At 44.3% G+C, this 13,238-nt stretch overlaps 1 protein-coding gene across 42 annotated transcripts in view, besides 9 other annotated features; it reads right to left on the bottom strand.

The window, feature by feature from the left end:
* ZBTB38 (zinc finger and BTB domain containing 38) overlaps window positions 1-13,238 on the bottom strand; it is a 125,607-nt gene that overhangs the window by 71,914 nt on the left and 40,455 nt on the right. For 34 of the 42 annotated variants that reach the window (NM_001387953.1, NM_001387947.1, XM_047447863.1 and 31 more), the window contains exons 1-2: window positions 9,075-9,375; window positions 7,933-8,007 (exon numbers count right to left, since the gene is read on the bottom strand). The gene's annotated coding sequence lies outside the window, so the exon portion shown is untranslated. Of the gene's footprint in view, window positions 1-7,932; window positions 8,008-9,074; window positions 9,376-9,495; window positions 9,557-9,769; window positions 11,634-13,238 lie in introns of those variants that run through there. The other 8 variants (XM_047447856.1, NM_001080412.3, XM_047447849.1 and 5 more) reach the window with 4 other exon arrangements.
* Window positions 1,854-1,983: an enhancer, noted in NCBI's record as "active region_20627". NCBI's record gives its function as "activates an Ori minimal core promoter by ATAC-STARR-seq in GM12878 lymphoblastoid cells {active_cell/tissue: GM12878}" and the evidence as "EXISTENCE:reporter gene assay evidence [ECO:0000049][PMID:35858748]".
* Window positions 2,064-2,243: an enhancer, noted in NCBI's record as "active region_20626". NCBI's record gives its function as "activates an Ori minimal core promoter by ATAC-STARR-seq in GM12878 lymphoblastoid cells {active_cell/tissue: GM12878}" and the evidence as "EXISTENCE:reporter gene assay evidence [ECO:0000049][PMID:35858748]".
* Window positions 3,272-3,865: an enhancer, noted in NCBI's record as "OCT4-NANOG-H3K27ac hESC enhancer chr3:141092856-141093449 (GRCh37/hg19 assembly coordinates)". NCBI's record gives its function as "activates a minimal SCP1, AML or CMV promoter by ChIP-STARR-seq in naive H9 embryonic stem cells {active_cell/tissue: H9 hESC(naive)}" and the evidence as "EXISTENCE:reporter gene assay evidence [ECO:0000049][PMID:30033119]".
* Window positions 4,922-4,971: an enhancer, noted in NCBI's record as "active region_20625". NCBI's record gives its function as "activates an Ori minimal core promoter by ATAC-STARR-seq in GM12878 lymphoblastoid cells {active_cell/tissue: GM12878}" and the evidence as "EXISTENCE:reporter gene assay evidence [ECO:0000049][PMID:35858748]".
* Window positions 8,249-9,024: an enhancer, noted in NCBI's record as "H3K27ac-H3K4me1 hESC enhancer chr3:141087697-141088472 (GRCh37/hg19 assembly coordinates)". NCBI's record gives its function as "activates a minimal SCP1, AML or CMV promoter by ChIP-STARR-seq in naive H9 embryonic stem cells {active_cell/tissue: H9 hESC(naive)}" and the evidence as "EXISTENCE:reporter gene assay evidence [ECO:0000049][PMID:30033119]".
* Window positions 8,249-10,576: a biological region, named in NCBI's record as "P300/CBP strongly-dependent group 1 enhancer GRCh37_chr3:141086748-141087947".
* Window positions 8,774-9,973: an enhancer, noted in NCBI's record as "P300/CBP strongly-dependent group 1 enhancer chr3:141086748-141087947 (GRCh37/hg19 assembly coordinates)". NCBI's record gives its function as "activates an origin of replication core promoter dependent on BRD2, BRD4, P300/CBP, MED14 and CDK7 cofactors, with strong dependence on P300/CBP, by STARR-seq in HCT116 cells {active_cell/tissue: HCT116}" and the evidence as "EXISTENCE:reporter gene assay evidence [ECO:0000049][PMID:35650434]".
* Window positions 9,479-9,708: an enhancer, noted in NCBI's record as "active region_20624". NCBI's record gives its function as "activates an Ori minimal core promoter by ATAC-STARR-seq in GM12878 lymphoblastoid cells {active_cell/tissue: GM12878}" and the evidence as "EXISTENCE:reporter gene assay evidence [ECO:0000049][PMID:35858748]".
* Window positions 9,801-10,576: an enhancer, noted in NCBI's record as "H3K27ac-H3K4me1 hESC enhancer chr3:141086145-141086920 (GRCh37/hg19 assembly coordinates)". NCBI's record gives its function as "activates a minimal SCP1, AML or CMV promoter by ChIP-STARR-seq in naive H9 embryonic stem cells {active_cell/tissue: H9 hESC(naive)}" and the evidence as "EXISTENCE:reporter gene assay evidence [ECO:0000049][PMID:30033119]".

Here is a 13,238-nt window from a genome sequence, read left to right as displayed (position 1 = left end):
GAACGTTCTCTAAATGGAATCATGTAGCATATAACTCTTTGAGATTGGCTTTCAGCATAATGCCCTTGTGATCCATTTGAATTGTATGTAAAGAGCACATGCCTTTTTATTGCTGAATAGTATTTCAAGGTGTGGATGTACCAGTGTGTTACCCACTAACTTGCTGAAAAACATTTGGCTATTTTCCAGTTTTTAGGTATTACAAATAAAGCTGCTATAAATGTTCATGTAAAGTTTATTGCGTGAACATAAGTTTTCATTTCTCTTGTGTAAATACCCATGAGTAGGATTGCTGGATCACGTGGTAAGTATATGTTTAACTTTTATAAGAAACTGCCAAACAGTTTCCTAGAGTGGCTGTACCATTTTACATTCCTACAGGCAATGTAGGAGAGATCCAGTGTCCCCACATGTTTGCCAGCATTTGGTAACCTCAGTATTTTTTATTTAAGCCATCTACTAGATGTGTCGGGCTCCTTTTGATGGGCCACAGTCAAGAAGGCAGTTAAGCTCTGTGGCCTTCTGAGCTTAGCTGGGGTGACCTCAGATGTCTCTCATTGCTCCAGTTTTCCTGGTAGCTGTCTACACAGCAGTTTGGGCTGTCTGGCACTTAGGCGATGGAAAATGGGATGGTCTTTCTGGATGGGGGGGCTGAGTCTTTGGGTTTGCCCAGTTGCTCCTGACTGCAGTGGTGGGACATTGCTATCTGGGGATGCTGGGCCTCTTTGAGGCAGTGCCTCTTGGCCCAGCAGGAAGACTTGATACCAGTGGTACATGCTCCCATGGGGTAGGGCAGGTGAAATGACAGCTGTGGGGCAGGAACAGAGTTTGCCTGGGCCAGGGTCTTCCTGTAGCTTTGGCCAGAGGCTGTGTGAATACTTTTAATTTCTCAGGTTAGATCGTTATCAGCATAGTGTGAGAGGAAGTGGGACATGGAATCAATGTAGAGAGGCAAGGGTGGGACCACCAGTAGCACTTGTCAAATCTTGGGACCCACTGAACAATCTTTGCCCTTGAACTTTGTACTCTGTGACCACCCAAGACTCTCCAGCAGCATGTGGACACCTTGTCTGGATGCCATGGAACTCCTATTTTTGTCTCCTGTGGGTGAGATTTGGAAGCACTGCTGTCACCACCACATGGGCTTTCCTGGCCCAGGGGTCCAGGTCTCGTGAGCAATTAGAATGTCATCTGAGTATCAGAGGTGCTTCACTCAAGAAAGTTGTGCAGGACAACAAGGTGATGGGTTTTACATAAGGCAAACATTATAGTGAAGACTTGAACCGGCCCAGGCATTCTTGGAAAGTCACCCTCCATCTGATTCAAGGTACCTCTGGTTCAAGGGAGGTTGTAGACTTTTCCAGAACTCTTACTCATCATGACCCTGGAGCCATGAGTTTGGACTAGGAGGCCAAGAATCAGGAGAGTAGTGATCCTGAACAGGGATAACCTTGAGATAATGGAGACTTGCATGGGGCAGTGAAGCTTGGGGATCATCAACAAAATTCCCTGGTGGCTAAGCCCTGGGAGGATCCTGTGGAGGAGCTCCTTTGGGTTCTGGCTCTTGTGTGTCACCAGGTGCCTTTGCAGGGGATCAGCATAGATGTAGGCATGGAGGAAACTAAAGTTGATTTCAAGAACCTGAACGTGAACTGGGGCGGGTAGGGAGCTGAGCAGTCTGTCCAGGCAGAACTTGAAAGTCAAGTGATGCCTTGGTGGGCTCTGGAAATTGAGGTGGTGGGATGAGAGGAAGCCGGGCAGTCAGACACTGTCAGGTGATCAGTGGGTGTGGGTTGATGGGTTTCAGCAGGGTTATGCAGGCAGGATGAATAGTCAGACTTCCTCTTAGAGGATGGTGAGAGTTTAAAGAAAATGGTTTTTTGTTGCTATAATTGTTTTTTCCATTGTTTCCTAAATTTCCATTTTCAGGTTCCTCCTGCTCTGGCCTGCCGCCTCTCAGGCTGTGCTCCTACTCTCCTGCTGTCAGAAGGCAGCCCAGCACACAGCACCTTTCAGATTTAAAAAGGCAGGCACGGCTTGGGGCAGGTACCTCCCCTGACTGTGAGGTCACACAGTGGGACTCCATCCTTGAGGCCAAATCCTCAGCAGTTCCCCTCTAGCTCTTGCTTGTCTTCCTTTCAACTCATCCCTGCCTTGACCTCAAATTTGCCCACATATTTTAGTCTGGCACTTGCCCTGACCCTGCTCCGCTGTCTTGGTTTCTGACCCCAGATCCCACCTCCTACTCTGCTCTTGTGATGCTGATCACATGGATGCTGCCTGCACGGCTGCCCTCTGTCCTCCTGGGTCCAGCTTCTTCAGTGCTACCACCTCAGGGATCAGGGCACACCACAGTCTGGCCCCATTAGGTGACCAAGATGGGCACGTGGGCCCCTTGCTAGGTCTAGGCTGCCCAAGAGTGTCTTGAAGTACGGGCATGCCTATCTGAGGGCAGGTAAGAGCTCCTTGGCTGAGGCAGGGCGTTGCCTCAGGAGTGAATCTTCTCATTGGCGCCTTTTGTCTCTTACCTAAAGGTTGGGTGACTCTGGGCCCTTTGTCTAGTTCAACCTTTGCCATTAAATCTCTGAGTGACCACCAGGAAGTAAATGAACCATTATGGGCCTCAGTGATTTCATGTGTACAATATGGTTTCTTGATTCCCTAGCTAATAATCTTTTTACTACATCATATTACAGTTAAAGGAAAATCTAAAAATCAGAAGCCAAAAAAAGACTTTAAGTTAAATTCTGGCATAGACATACTAGCTCAGAGTTTCCTAATTTTTTTTGTCTAATAAATGTTTGCCAACTGAATATTTGTTGAACTGAATGCAGCATGTCAATAGTTCTCAGGCATTAATGCAGAAGAATTGGGAGGGCAGGTTAAAATGCATATCCCCAGGCTCCTCCTCAGAGCTTCCAATACCACTGGGGCCTAGCAGCATGCATTTTAATGTGAGAAACTAAAAAAGACCAAGGTTTTGAAATAGACATTCGTACCTTTCTAGGGGCCAATTCACCAATATGCATTAGAAACTTTAAAAATAGTAGAACACTAAAGTGAATCAAAATGTCCAACAACAAAAAACTGATACATTAAAATGTATCAGTGCAATGGAAATAGAGCCATTAAAAATCATGTTTTCAAAGACCATCTAGTGATTTGGTAAAATGTTTACAACATAATGTTAAATGGGGGCAAAACACCACATAAAATACCATCTCAACAATTTTTAACATTTTGATGTATTTTTTCCAATTTTTTTCTTGTATATATTCTTCTCTCTTTTTAAAAAGGAGAGAATGGGGTGGGGTTGGGGTGAGGGGTTATACTAATGCTCTTTTGGACAAAGATGAGGGGTCCACTCTCTCCACTCTGGCTTGGAAGGCACTACCCAAGGTCAATGCCTCCGTGGAGGAGTTTCCAAGCCTCCTTATCCCAATGCACTGGGAGCCCCATAGAATGCCAGGAATCATCTTCTTTTGGCAGAGAGATGACTCATCCATCATTCCTCAAAGGTTTCAGTGAACCCCAGGTTAAATGTCCCTGTGAATAAGATCAGAAGCCTCTCCATGGGGAGTCTGGCCTACAATCAAACATGCTTTGGCTAGTTAGAAGTGATGCTAAGGCTCCCAGATGAAAGTCAATTTAGAAAGACAAAAAAATCTTTAAAATAATGATAATAACAATATCAAAAGTCAAAGCACCAATACTGACCATAATTATGATGATTATTTTTTATCAACACTTTTTTTTTTTTTTCCTCTGTTGCCTAGGCTGGAGTACAGTGGCCCAGTCGTGGCTCACCACAACCTCCGCCTCCTGGGTTCAACCAATTCTCATACCTCAGCCTCCCAAGAAGCTGGGATTACAGGCATGTGCCACCAAGCCCAGCTAATTTTTGTATTTTTAGTAGAGGCAGGGCTTCACGATTTTGGCTGGGCTGGTCTTGAACTCCTGGCCTCAAGCAATCTGCGCACCTCAGCCTCCCAAAGTGCTGGGATTTCCGGTGTGAGCCACCACTCCCGGCCTTTATCAGCAGTTTACCTTGACATGCACTTTTCTAAGTTGCCCATATCATTTTGCATATATCACCTACTTATTCTGACAGAGTCTCAGCATTACATTTTCTAACAATACTATTTTGGAGGTAGGAGGGAGCTTTAAAGTTCTGATGAAAACCAGAAGCTTCTTGAGTTAAAAACAAAACCCTGAAGTGTGGTATTTTCCAACTTGGTTCTTGACAAGAAATTAGGGGATTTCAGTGTGAGAAATTATAAAGCCCTATTACTATGAATTCTTAGTTTTGGTGAATATGATGTGGTATTTCTGCAAAACTCTCTAAGGAGAGTGACAGAACATTCATGATGCTGACCCATGGGGAGAAAGGAGCTTGCACACCTGTGCTATGACAATTCTAAAACCTCAGGGATTAAAATACTCAACTAGTGTAAGAGCTGCCTGTGTGAGACTGTGTGCTCAGTCCACATCTGCTCATCATGGCTCAACAAGGCCAGGCTCAGATCTTTAGATGACCTAAGCTCTGAAAAGACTATAGTGCCTCAAATTTGAATTATTACTCCCATGTGAAATTAAAATAGAAAAAAATAACAAAATACAAAATTAAGGTTGAGAAAGCTCAACAAAGTCTAACTTTTCCCAGGCTGTCTCCTTTGATGCTTTTTTTGAAATGTCAAATATCAAAATATTTACAAAATGTGTGTTTGTACACAATCCTGCTTTGCTGATGTTGTCTGTGAGGTCACTCAGCATCCAGTGGTCACAGGGATCTATGGCTTTCTTTCAAACACAAAGTGTTGACAGTAGTGAAATTCTGGTACCTGATGTGGTGGTCTTACTCCCCTTCCTGTAGTAATATGCAGCTAGAAATTAGAAATCAGGAGGCTGGCCCCCTCCCCCAACCCTAACACCATTCATATGTCAACTACTGCATACTTAGTGCTTTGAGGAGTCATAACAGATGGTAGTTGAAATTAGCAAGCTGTGATTAGCCATTCTCCCACATGAATGGACCCTGATGTTGACTGAGACCTTTGGCTCTGCCCTTCCTGAAAGACTCTGTTAGGCTAGGACTTCCAGCAACACATCATCCCCATTTGGCTCCAGCTTTTGAAATCTGGCACATATTCTTAACTTATTCCTTCAACTGCACCCTTCTAGCAGGCACTGTATTCCCCATTCACCTGGTCTTTTTTTTTTTTTTTGGAGATGGAGTTTCTCTCTTGTTGCCCAGGCCGGAGTCCTGTGGTGTGATCTCGGTTCACTGCAACCTCTGCCTCCCAGGTTCAAGCAATTCCCCTGCCTCAGCCTCCCAAGTAGCTGGGATTATAGGTGTGCGCCACCCTGCTCGGCTAATTTTGTATTTTTTTTTAGTAGAGATGGGGTTTCACCATGTTGGTCAGGCTGGTCTTGAACTCCTGACCTCAAGTGATCCACCTGCCTCGGCCTCCCAAAGTGCAGGGATTATAGGCATGAGCCACCATGCCCAGCCCAACCTGGTCTTATCATTAGCTTATACCACTAGCCCAGCCAGCTCCCCGATCAATAGACACTTTCAGTTCCTAACAACTTGGAAAGACAGACTTTCAGAGGCTGAAGTATTTTTGCAGCAACTCATCTTGTTATTCTATTCCATTCCTCCTCAGCTCCATCCTAATGTAAGGGGACTGGGCAGAGGCTAGGCAGCCATAACAGGAGAGTAGGCCAGGCATCAGCCTCTGTCAGATATCTGAGAAGCTGTGGCAAATTGGCCAGTAACAGGTATCCCCACACAACAGACAATACATGCTCTTCAGGGTGTGGATGTGGGTGCCAGAAAGGTCAAGTCCAGGGGCAAAAGTCAATCAGAAACCAGAGTGTTTAGTCAGATATTGACAAAACTAGAGAACTAGGTACCAGGCACCTCAGGCAAAGACTTGAGTTCATTTTTATTTCACACCTTTAAGTCTGGGGCATCACAAGGCACCCATCATATGGTTTATATTTACGAATGAGGGGAATACTTCACCAACATCAACAATGGTTAGAAGGTTACATAAAATGTTAAACTTATTAAAAGTTCTCCAAACAGAGCTTACAACTTTACCACTTATTATTTCAGTAAATGTTTTGAAACTTTTCCTGAAAATAAAAAGCTAGACATATATATCACATCTTTTGGGGTAGCATTAATAGCCCCAGCCTGAGACTTTTTAGTCTACTTTTAAATGTTTCTCGGCTGGGCCCGGTGGCTCATGCCTGTTATCCTAGCACTTTGGGAGGCCAAGGTGGGTGGTGGATTGCTTGAGCCCAGGAGTTCAAGACCAGCCTGGGCAACATGGTGAAACCTTGTTTCTACAAAAAATACAAAAATTAGCCAGGCATGGTGACACATGCCTGTAGTCTCAGCTACTTGGGAGGATCGCTTGAGCCTGAGAAGTTGAGGCTGCAGTGAGCCATGATCGTGCCACTGCACTCCAGCCTGGGTGACAGAGTGAAACCCTGTCTCAAAGAAAAAAAAAGTTTCTCGGCTGGGCGCTATGGCTCATGTCTGTAATCTCAGCACTTTGGCAGGCCAAGGCCGGCAGATCACGAGGTCAAGAGATGGAGACCATCCTGGCCAACATGGTGAAACCCCATCTCTACTAAAAATACAAAAATTAGCTGGGTGTGGTGGTGCGTGCCTGCAGTCCCAGCTACTCAGGAGGCTGAGGCAGTAGAATCACTTGAACCTGGGAGGCAGAGGTTGCAGTGAACTGAGATCATGCCGATGCACTCCAGCCTGGCAACAGAGTGAGACTCTGCCTCAAAAAAAAAAAAAAAAAAAAAAAAAAGAAAGAAAGAAAAGAAAAGAAAAAACAGTTTAATAACTTGGTTTAAAGGTCTAACCTTCGGGAATTTTCACCCTGATCAAATGTCCCAAGACCTGGAGCAGATCCTGTAGGATACATTTCCAAAGCCTCCAGTAGCAGAGAAAACTACGAGCTAAGGAAGTCAAGAGCTTTCCTATAGACCACTGGGGCTCATAGTTGGGGGAGCAGAATTCTGTCACAATTCCAACTAATATGACTAGATCCAGGAAGAAGAGAAAGCCAGTATAGTCCTAGACCAAGAGGATCCTGAGAGGAAAAATAAGTAAAAGGAAATAAGGAAAATGTCCTTCATGGTTCACTGGCCATGGGCAACATGATGCTTAGGGTCATAATGGACAGAGGTGTTGAGAAATCTCATCCATTGCATCTTGCCCTCATGGCCAGATGTTACCTAAGAGTGTCAGTCAGGAAAACCTAAATGTGGATAATTGTTTACTTCTCCCACTGTTTCTATGCAACTTTATCCTTGAGTATCTCCAAGTTTCTTTTATGTGCTGTGCCAGAGAGAACTACCTCTTCTTCAGAAACCCCTCCAGAGCTGTCACTGCTAAGTGGCTGCTCCACCAAGGACTACATTTCCCAGACTCCTCTGTGGTTAGCTGTGGTCATGTGATGGAGTTTTAGCCAATGGAATGTGAGTAGAAGTAACACGCACCACTTCTAGGCAGAGCCCATAAAAAACTCCCATGTGCACTTTTTCATGCTCTTTTCTTACTGCACTGAGGAGTGGAGACACCCCTAGGCGACCTTGAAAACCACATGCTGCAGAAGGCAAAGCCCCTCTCTACCTGTGTCTCTGAATGAATGCATGAAAGACAGTTGCCCCACTGACCTGTACTGTTACATGAGCAAGAAATAAACTATTGTGTTTGAGCCATTATAGATTTGGGGTTCTATTATAACAATTAGCCTATCCTAATATCCTTTTTAATATAGCTGTAATCATTGTGTACAGAAATCTCTGTGCCCTTTCCCCTTTTCTTTGAATCTTACCACAAACTAAAAAAGGAGAATTGGGAGACTTAAATTTAAGTAGCTGTTGGGGACAAATGACACTTACCAAATTAGTGGTCACAACATTCAGATCTTAGAGCCAGAAGAACAGGACTACAGCAGAGCCTCACTTCAAGACAACCTAATATATTAAAGTAAAACAAAAAGTAAAACATAAGGCCTATAAAACAGATATTTTAGTGTGTGATAGTTAATTTCCAAAGGGAGTTGTCCATTTACAAAGGAATATGCCACTGTTTTCCAGTAAATGACAAGCTTCCTTACTGCCTTTAAAATGAGACTTACGCCTCCCCGCTCCCAGTCATTTTAACATAGAATTTCTGAAGAACAGATCTCCCCTGGTACGTCAGCTATACGAAGACTAGATGCTGACTCAGGGGATGACTTAGAAGCCGGGAAAATCAGGGTATGATTTCTATGCCTACGTGCTGTTCTCATGTATGTGTCAAAACTTTTCTCTTGGGAACTTAACTTTCTTGGGTAGGAACTTCCAGAGGTCGTGAAATTATAGGCTTTGTAAAGAACTATGAGTTTTTAGACAAAGTTAAAACAGACACATTGTGTCTTTGTGCTTAATATCATCCCAGATACGATGGCACAAGTAGGAATGAAAATAAGTCCTCTGTAAACAGGGCGATAAGATAATGGAGGTTCATACACAGAACAATCAGAAACGTGCTCAGTAAAGGCAGCACAATTATGTACATCTTTTTACCAGGGCTGTCATATTTTACCAGGTTAAGTGTGAAAATACCATTTGATGGCACAGGACACGTATTTGCCTAGAACAGGGTTTATTTTTATGTCTGATCGCTCAGTATAAGATCTAGGAAGCAAACAATCCAGAACTCTGAACAAACATTCTGACAGCCTGAAACGGAATACTCAGGTGAGGGGAGGAAGAGGAGGCAAAACAAGAGGGTTGACAGGGAAAGGCATCAGTTGGGCTGTTCTCCCCAGGGTTTCCGTCTTAGTATTGTTTTTTTTTTTTTTTTTTGCATTCTTTTCTGATCCTGTGGAGAGAGATATCAGATCCCTTTGGGGCCGTATTTAGAGGGTCTCCCAAATGCAGTCCCTACTCCCAACTCTGGGCTGGGGCTTGGCAAGCTGTAGGCGTCAGGGAACAAGATGGCGCCCTACGGTGAAGGGCGCTGAGTGAGGGGGGGCCAAAAGTGGGCCTTCACTTACTCGGAGGCGCTGGCTCCTCTGAAACCCAGACGCTGTCAACTCCCTGGGCCCAGGAGTCACAACCGCTTTCGTGCTCTGGGTTCTTCACTTCTTGTGATCAGCTCCACATATTTTTCTGATGATGTCACCCATTCTGACTTCCTACATTTTGAAAGTTGATCTACAAGTAAAATCTTTCGTGAGGCTTAAAAAAAAGAAGAAAAGAAATAAAAGGTGTGCTATAGGGAGATGGAGAGGAAGAGAAAGGCCGTTGCCTCTTTATTTTGAGATTTGCTGCAGCTGCGAGTGCCACTCCCCAACTAGTTTCCTGGCTTCAGAGGGAGGCCAGTGGCCGGGCGTGGGTGACGTCAGGGCCAGGCCTGAGTCATCGCCAGCAGCCCGGGCCGGGCTGCCCTGCCACTCGGAAGGGGACAAAAGGAACCTTTGATGTCCAGAGGCCCTCCTCTCAGCACACTCGCCGGCACAGACCAGCAGGCCAGGAGAACATTCCTGCCGTCTCCCCACCCCCAGCCGCCCTTCCTACTTCCGGAACAGCCCCAGACAGATTCAACAAGGCCTCCCCAAAGGACATCACCCTCCTGCATGGCAGAGGCATGGCCGTGCTCTGTCAGAGAAGCAGGGAAGAAGAAGAGGGTGTTTCCCTGGGGACCTCTCACTGCCCCTCTGCCATCCCCCTTCTTCTGTGTGGTGCCCACCTTACTCAAGGAGTTGCAGTGGTATTGAAAGAGATGCGGAAAGGTGGAAGGCACTTTTGTCACCATCCCCGGGCAGCTCCTGGTGGTCAGTGTCTATTCTCCTCTGCCTCTGTGCTGTGGCCCTGGGCTTCGCTCCCTACCCTGGGTGCCAACATGAACTAGCTCTTCCTGGATTTAAGACATGACCACTCTTTAAAGGGGATATTTATATCTCAGTGCCTGGCATGAGGCTTGGTAATTATATGATGAATTAAGGAATGATAATTGTAAAATAAAATAGTAGAGGACACATATTAAATACTTAGAGTGAACATTCAAGCCTCTGTGCTTTATGAAGATTATTTCATTTATTGGTATTATCACAACAAAAAAGCTGTGAGGTAGGTACTATTAATATTCCTAATGCTATAGAGAAAGAAATGGATGCTCAGAGAGGTTAAGACACTTCTCTAAAGCCTCACAGCTAGTTAGTTCATGGCAGAGCCTGGATCATCTAATCTCACATCCTGTTTTCTTAATCACGGTGCTGAGTGGCTGGAGTGAATGAAGGAATATTGACCAAGGGCAACCTGGCCAGGAGAAAAGAGACAAAGATGGGACTTGAAACCACATCCTACAAGGAAACAATGAAACAATTAGGAATGTTCTGGCAACATGGGCCTCATGCCTTCTTACTGCGTCAACACCAGGTCTGAGGTTTGGCAAGTGGGTGGCTTACTCAGCGTAGCCAGGAGGGCGAATCAGTCATCAGGTTCAAGTGGGGATGAGAAACTAGGGAGGTCGGATGGACGCAAGCCTGTGGCATGTGGTAGATGCAAAATCCGAGAGCCACGGGGTACAGAGTACCTCGGCGGGAGCCAGAGTCCACGCTTGTCTTTGTTGCCTTCTGGCCTCATGGATGTAGGTGGGAGGGTCAGTCCATCTGGGGTGGACAAGAAGGCTACAGGAAGAAGGACATGACGGCACTCTCAAAGATTCCAGACTCAGAAAGAGTTGGAACTGTGGTGTGGTTTTAGAGTGCAGGAGGAGTGAGAAGGGATTGGGAACAGATCTGGACCTGACAATGGTAGTTACTTTCTACTCTTAGCGCCCTCCTACCAGGAATCAGCTGCCTTTCTGGGCCTGAGGAAGAGTCCTGGCAATGGCTGTGGGCAAGCAAAGGCGAGGAGGGGTGGTGAGAAGAGAACATCTGCTTATCGGGGTATCTGGGCCCAGCATAAGAATGACCTACGAGGTAGCTTCTCCCTCTGTGGTTTATGATTCTGTGGTTTGTACTTTTCCATGATTCTCTTAGAGTAAATGTCTCATTCCAAGAGGAAGACAAAACCAGGAATTTCCAGCCCCTTGTGGAGGCCTCCTTGATAACACACCCACAGCTTTCCTTCCCACTGTGGGTGGGGTGTCAGGTCACAGAGACCACTCTCCCTGACTCAGGCAATCTATGCCTCTGATGCCTGGGACATTGTGTAGTTCTACCTTGTTCCTGGGAGCTCTGCCAGTTGCCACTCTGAGGAATTGCACTTGTTCCATGTAGTTTGAATCCCTAGGCAGGTGGAATTTATAGAGGTGAATTTCACAAGAGAGAAAGCTACATGCTTTTAATCAAGGGAGCAGCAGCAACTGATCAGGTTCACTGTCAGTGTCTGCACACAGCCTGATCTTGGGCTGAGGAAATCGCTTTAAGTTCCAGGCATTTTTGGCAGAAGACTTGTTTATTCTTTTCTTCCTTCTCTGCAGAAAATGCCTCTGGGCACCTCCCTGCTCTGTTTCCCCAAAGACTCAGTGGCCTTGCTTGCTTCATATACACAGGTATTTATTTCTCTAATAAGATGAACAGAGGCTGATTATTTCTTCACCCTGCATCCTATCAGGATAATGTGAACAGAAAAATAAAGAAAAGAAGCAGAAATGATCAGTAAGCTTAAGTGAGACACAGATTCTTGGGTTATATGCTCTGGGGTTGATACTAACAGTGAAAATAAAATCAGAGAACTGGGAAAAATATCCACTTGGAGATACAGAGAAGTAAGTACAATGGCACTTCCCTGGTCTCTACGTGAAGTGGAGCATCCTCCTCCTTTGCTACAACAAATGCAGTTAAATGCTGGTAATTAAAACCAAACCTTTATGAATGCAAGGAATTCCTTGGAAGACTTGTCTATACTTGTTGACTTAGATTTCTCTCATTTTATTCCCTCTCTTTAAAAAAAATTATTAAGGTATAATTTACATATCAGAAAGTTCACTCACTTAAAGTGTACAATTCAATGGGTTTTAGTGTATTTACAGAATTATGTAATTTGTAATCTATTTTTTTTTAACACTTTTTGTCACCACCCCAAAAAACACCATGCTTATTAGGTATCATTCTTCATTTGTCCCCACCTACCAGCCCTAGATGACCACTCATCTAGTTTCTGTCTCTATAGATTTTCCTCTTCTGGACATTTTCTACAAATGGAATCATACAATATATGGTTCAAATATTTGTCCTCTCCAAAACTCATGTTGAAATTTAATCTCCAATATGGCAGTACTGAGAGGTGGGGTCTTTCAGAGGTGGTTAATCCACTCATGGATTAATGGATTAATTGGTTAATGGATTAATGGGTTATCACAAGAGAGAGACTTGTGGCTTTATAAGAAGAGGAAGAGGGACCTGAGCTAGCACTCTCAGCCACCTTGCCATGTAATGTCCTGTGTCACCTTGGGACTTGGCAGAGAGTCCGCACCAGCAAGAAGGTCCTCACCAGATGTGATCCCTAGACTTTGGACTTCTCAGCCTTCATAACTGTAAGAAGTGAATTTCTTTTCTTTATAAATTACCCAGGTTCAAGTGTTCTGTTTAAGCAACAGCAAATGAACTAAGGCATAGAATACTTTAGTACTTCTTTCCTTTTTATGCCCAAATAATATTCCACTGTGTGGGTATACAACATTTTGTTTATCCAAATCTCAGTTGATGAACACTTGAGTTGTTTTCACTTTTTGGCTGTTATGAATAATGTTGCTATGAACATTCATGTGCAAGTTTTTTTTTTGTGGACATGCATTCATGTCTCTTGGGTAGACACAAAAGAGTGGGATTGCTGAGTGATATCGTACTATGTTTAACATTTTGAGAAACTATCAAACTGTTTTCCAAAGTGCTGCATCATTTTACATTCTCACTAGCAATTTATGAGGGTTCTGATTTCCCCACATCCTCACCAATGCTGTTATTGCCTGTCTTTTTTATTATAGCCATCCTAGTGGGTACAATGTGATATCTCATTGTGATTTTGAACTGCATTTAACAAATGACTAATGATGTTGAGTGTGTTTTCAGGAGCTTATTGGTCACTTGTATATCTTCTTTGGAGAACTGTCTATTCAAATCCTTTATCTTTCAAATTGGGCTTTTTTTTTTTTTTTTTTTTTTTTTTTTTTTTTTAGATGTAGTTTCCCTCTTATTGCCTCAGCTGGAGTG

Source organism: Homo sapiens, chromosome 3, assembly GCF_000001405.40.
Source record: "Homo sapiens chromosome 3, GRCh38.p14 Primary Assembly".
In the NCBI taxonomy this organism is placed as follows: domain Eukaryota; kingdom Metazoa; phylum Chordata; class Mammalia; order Primates; family Hominidae; genus Homo; species Homo sapiens.
This window is presented reverse-complemented; position numbering and strand designations above follow the sequence as displayed.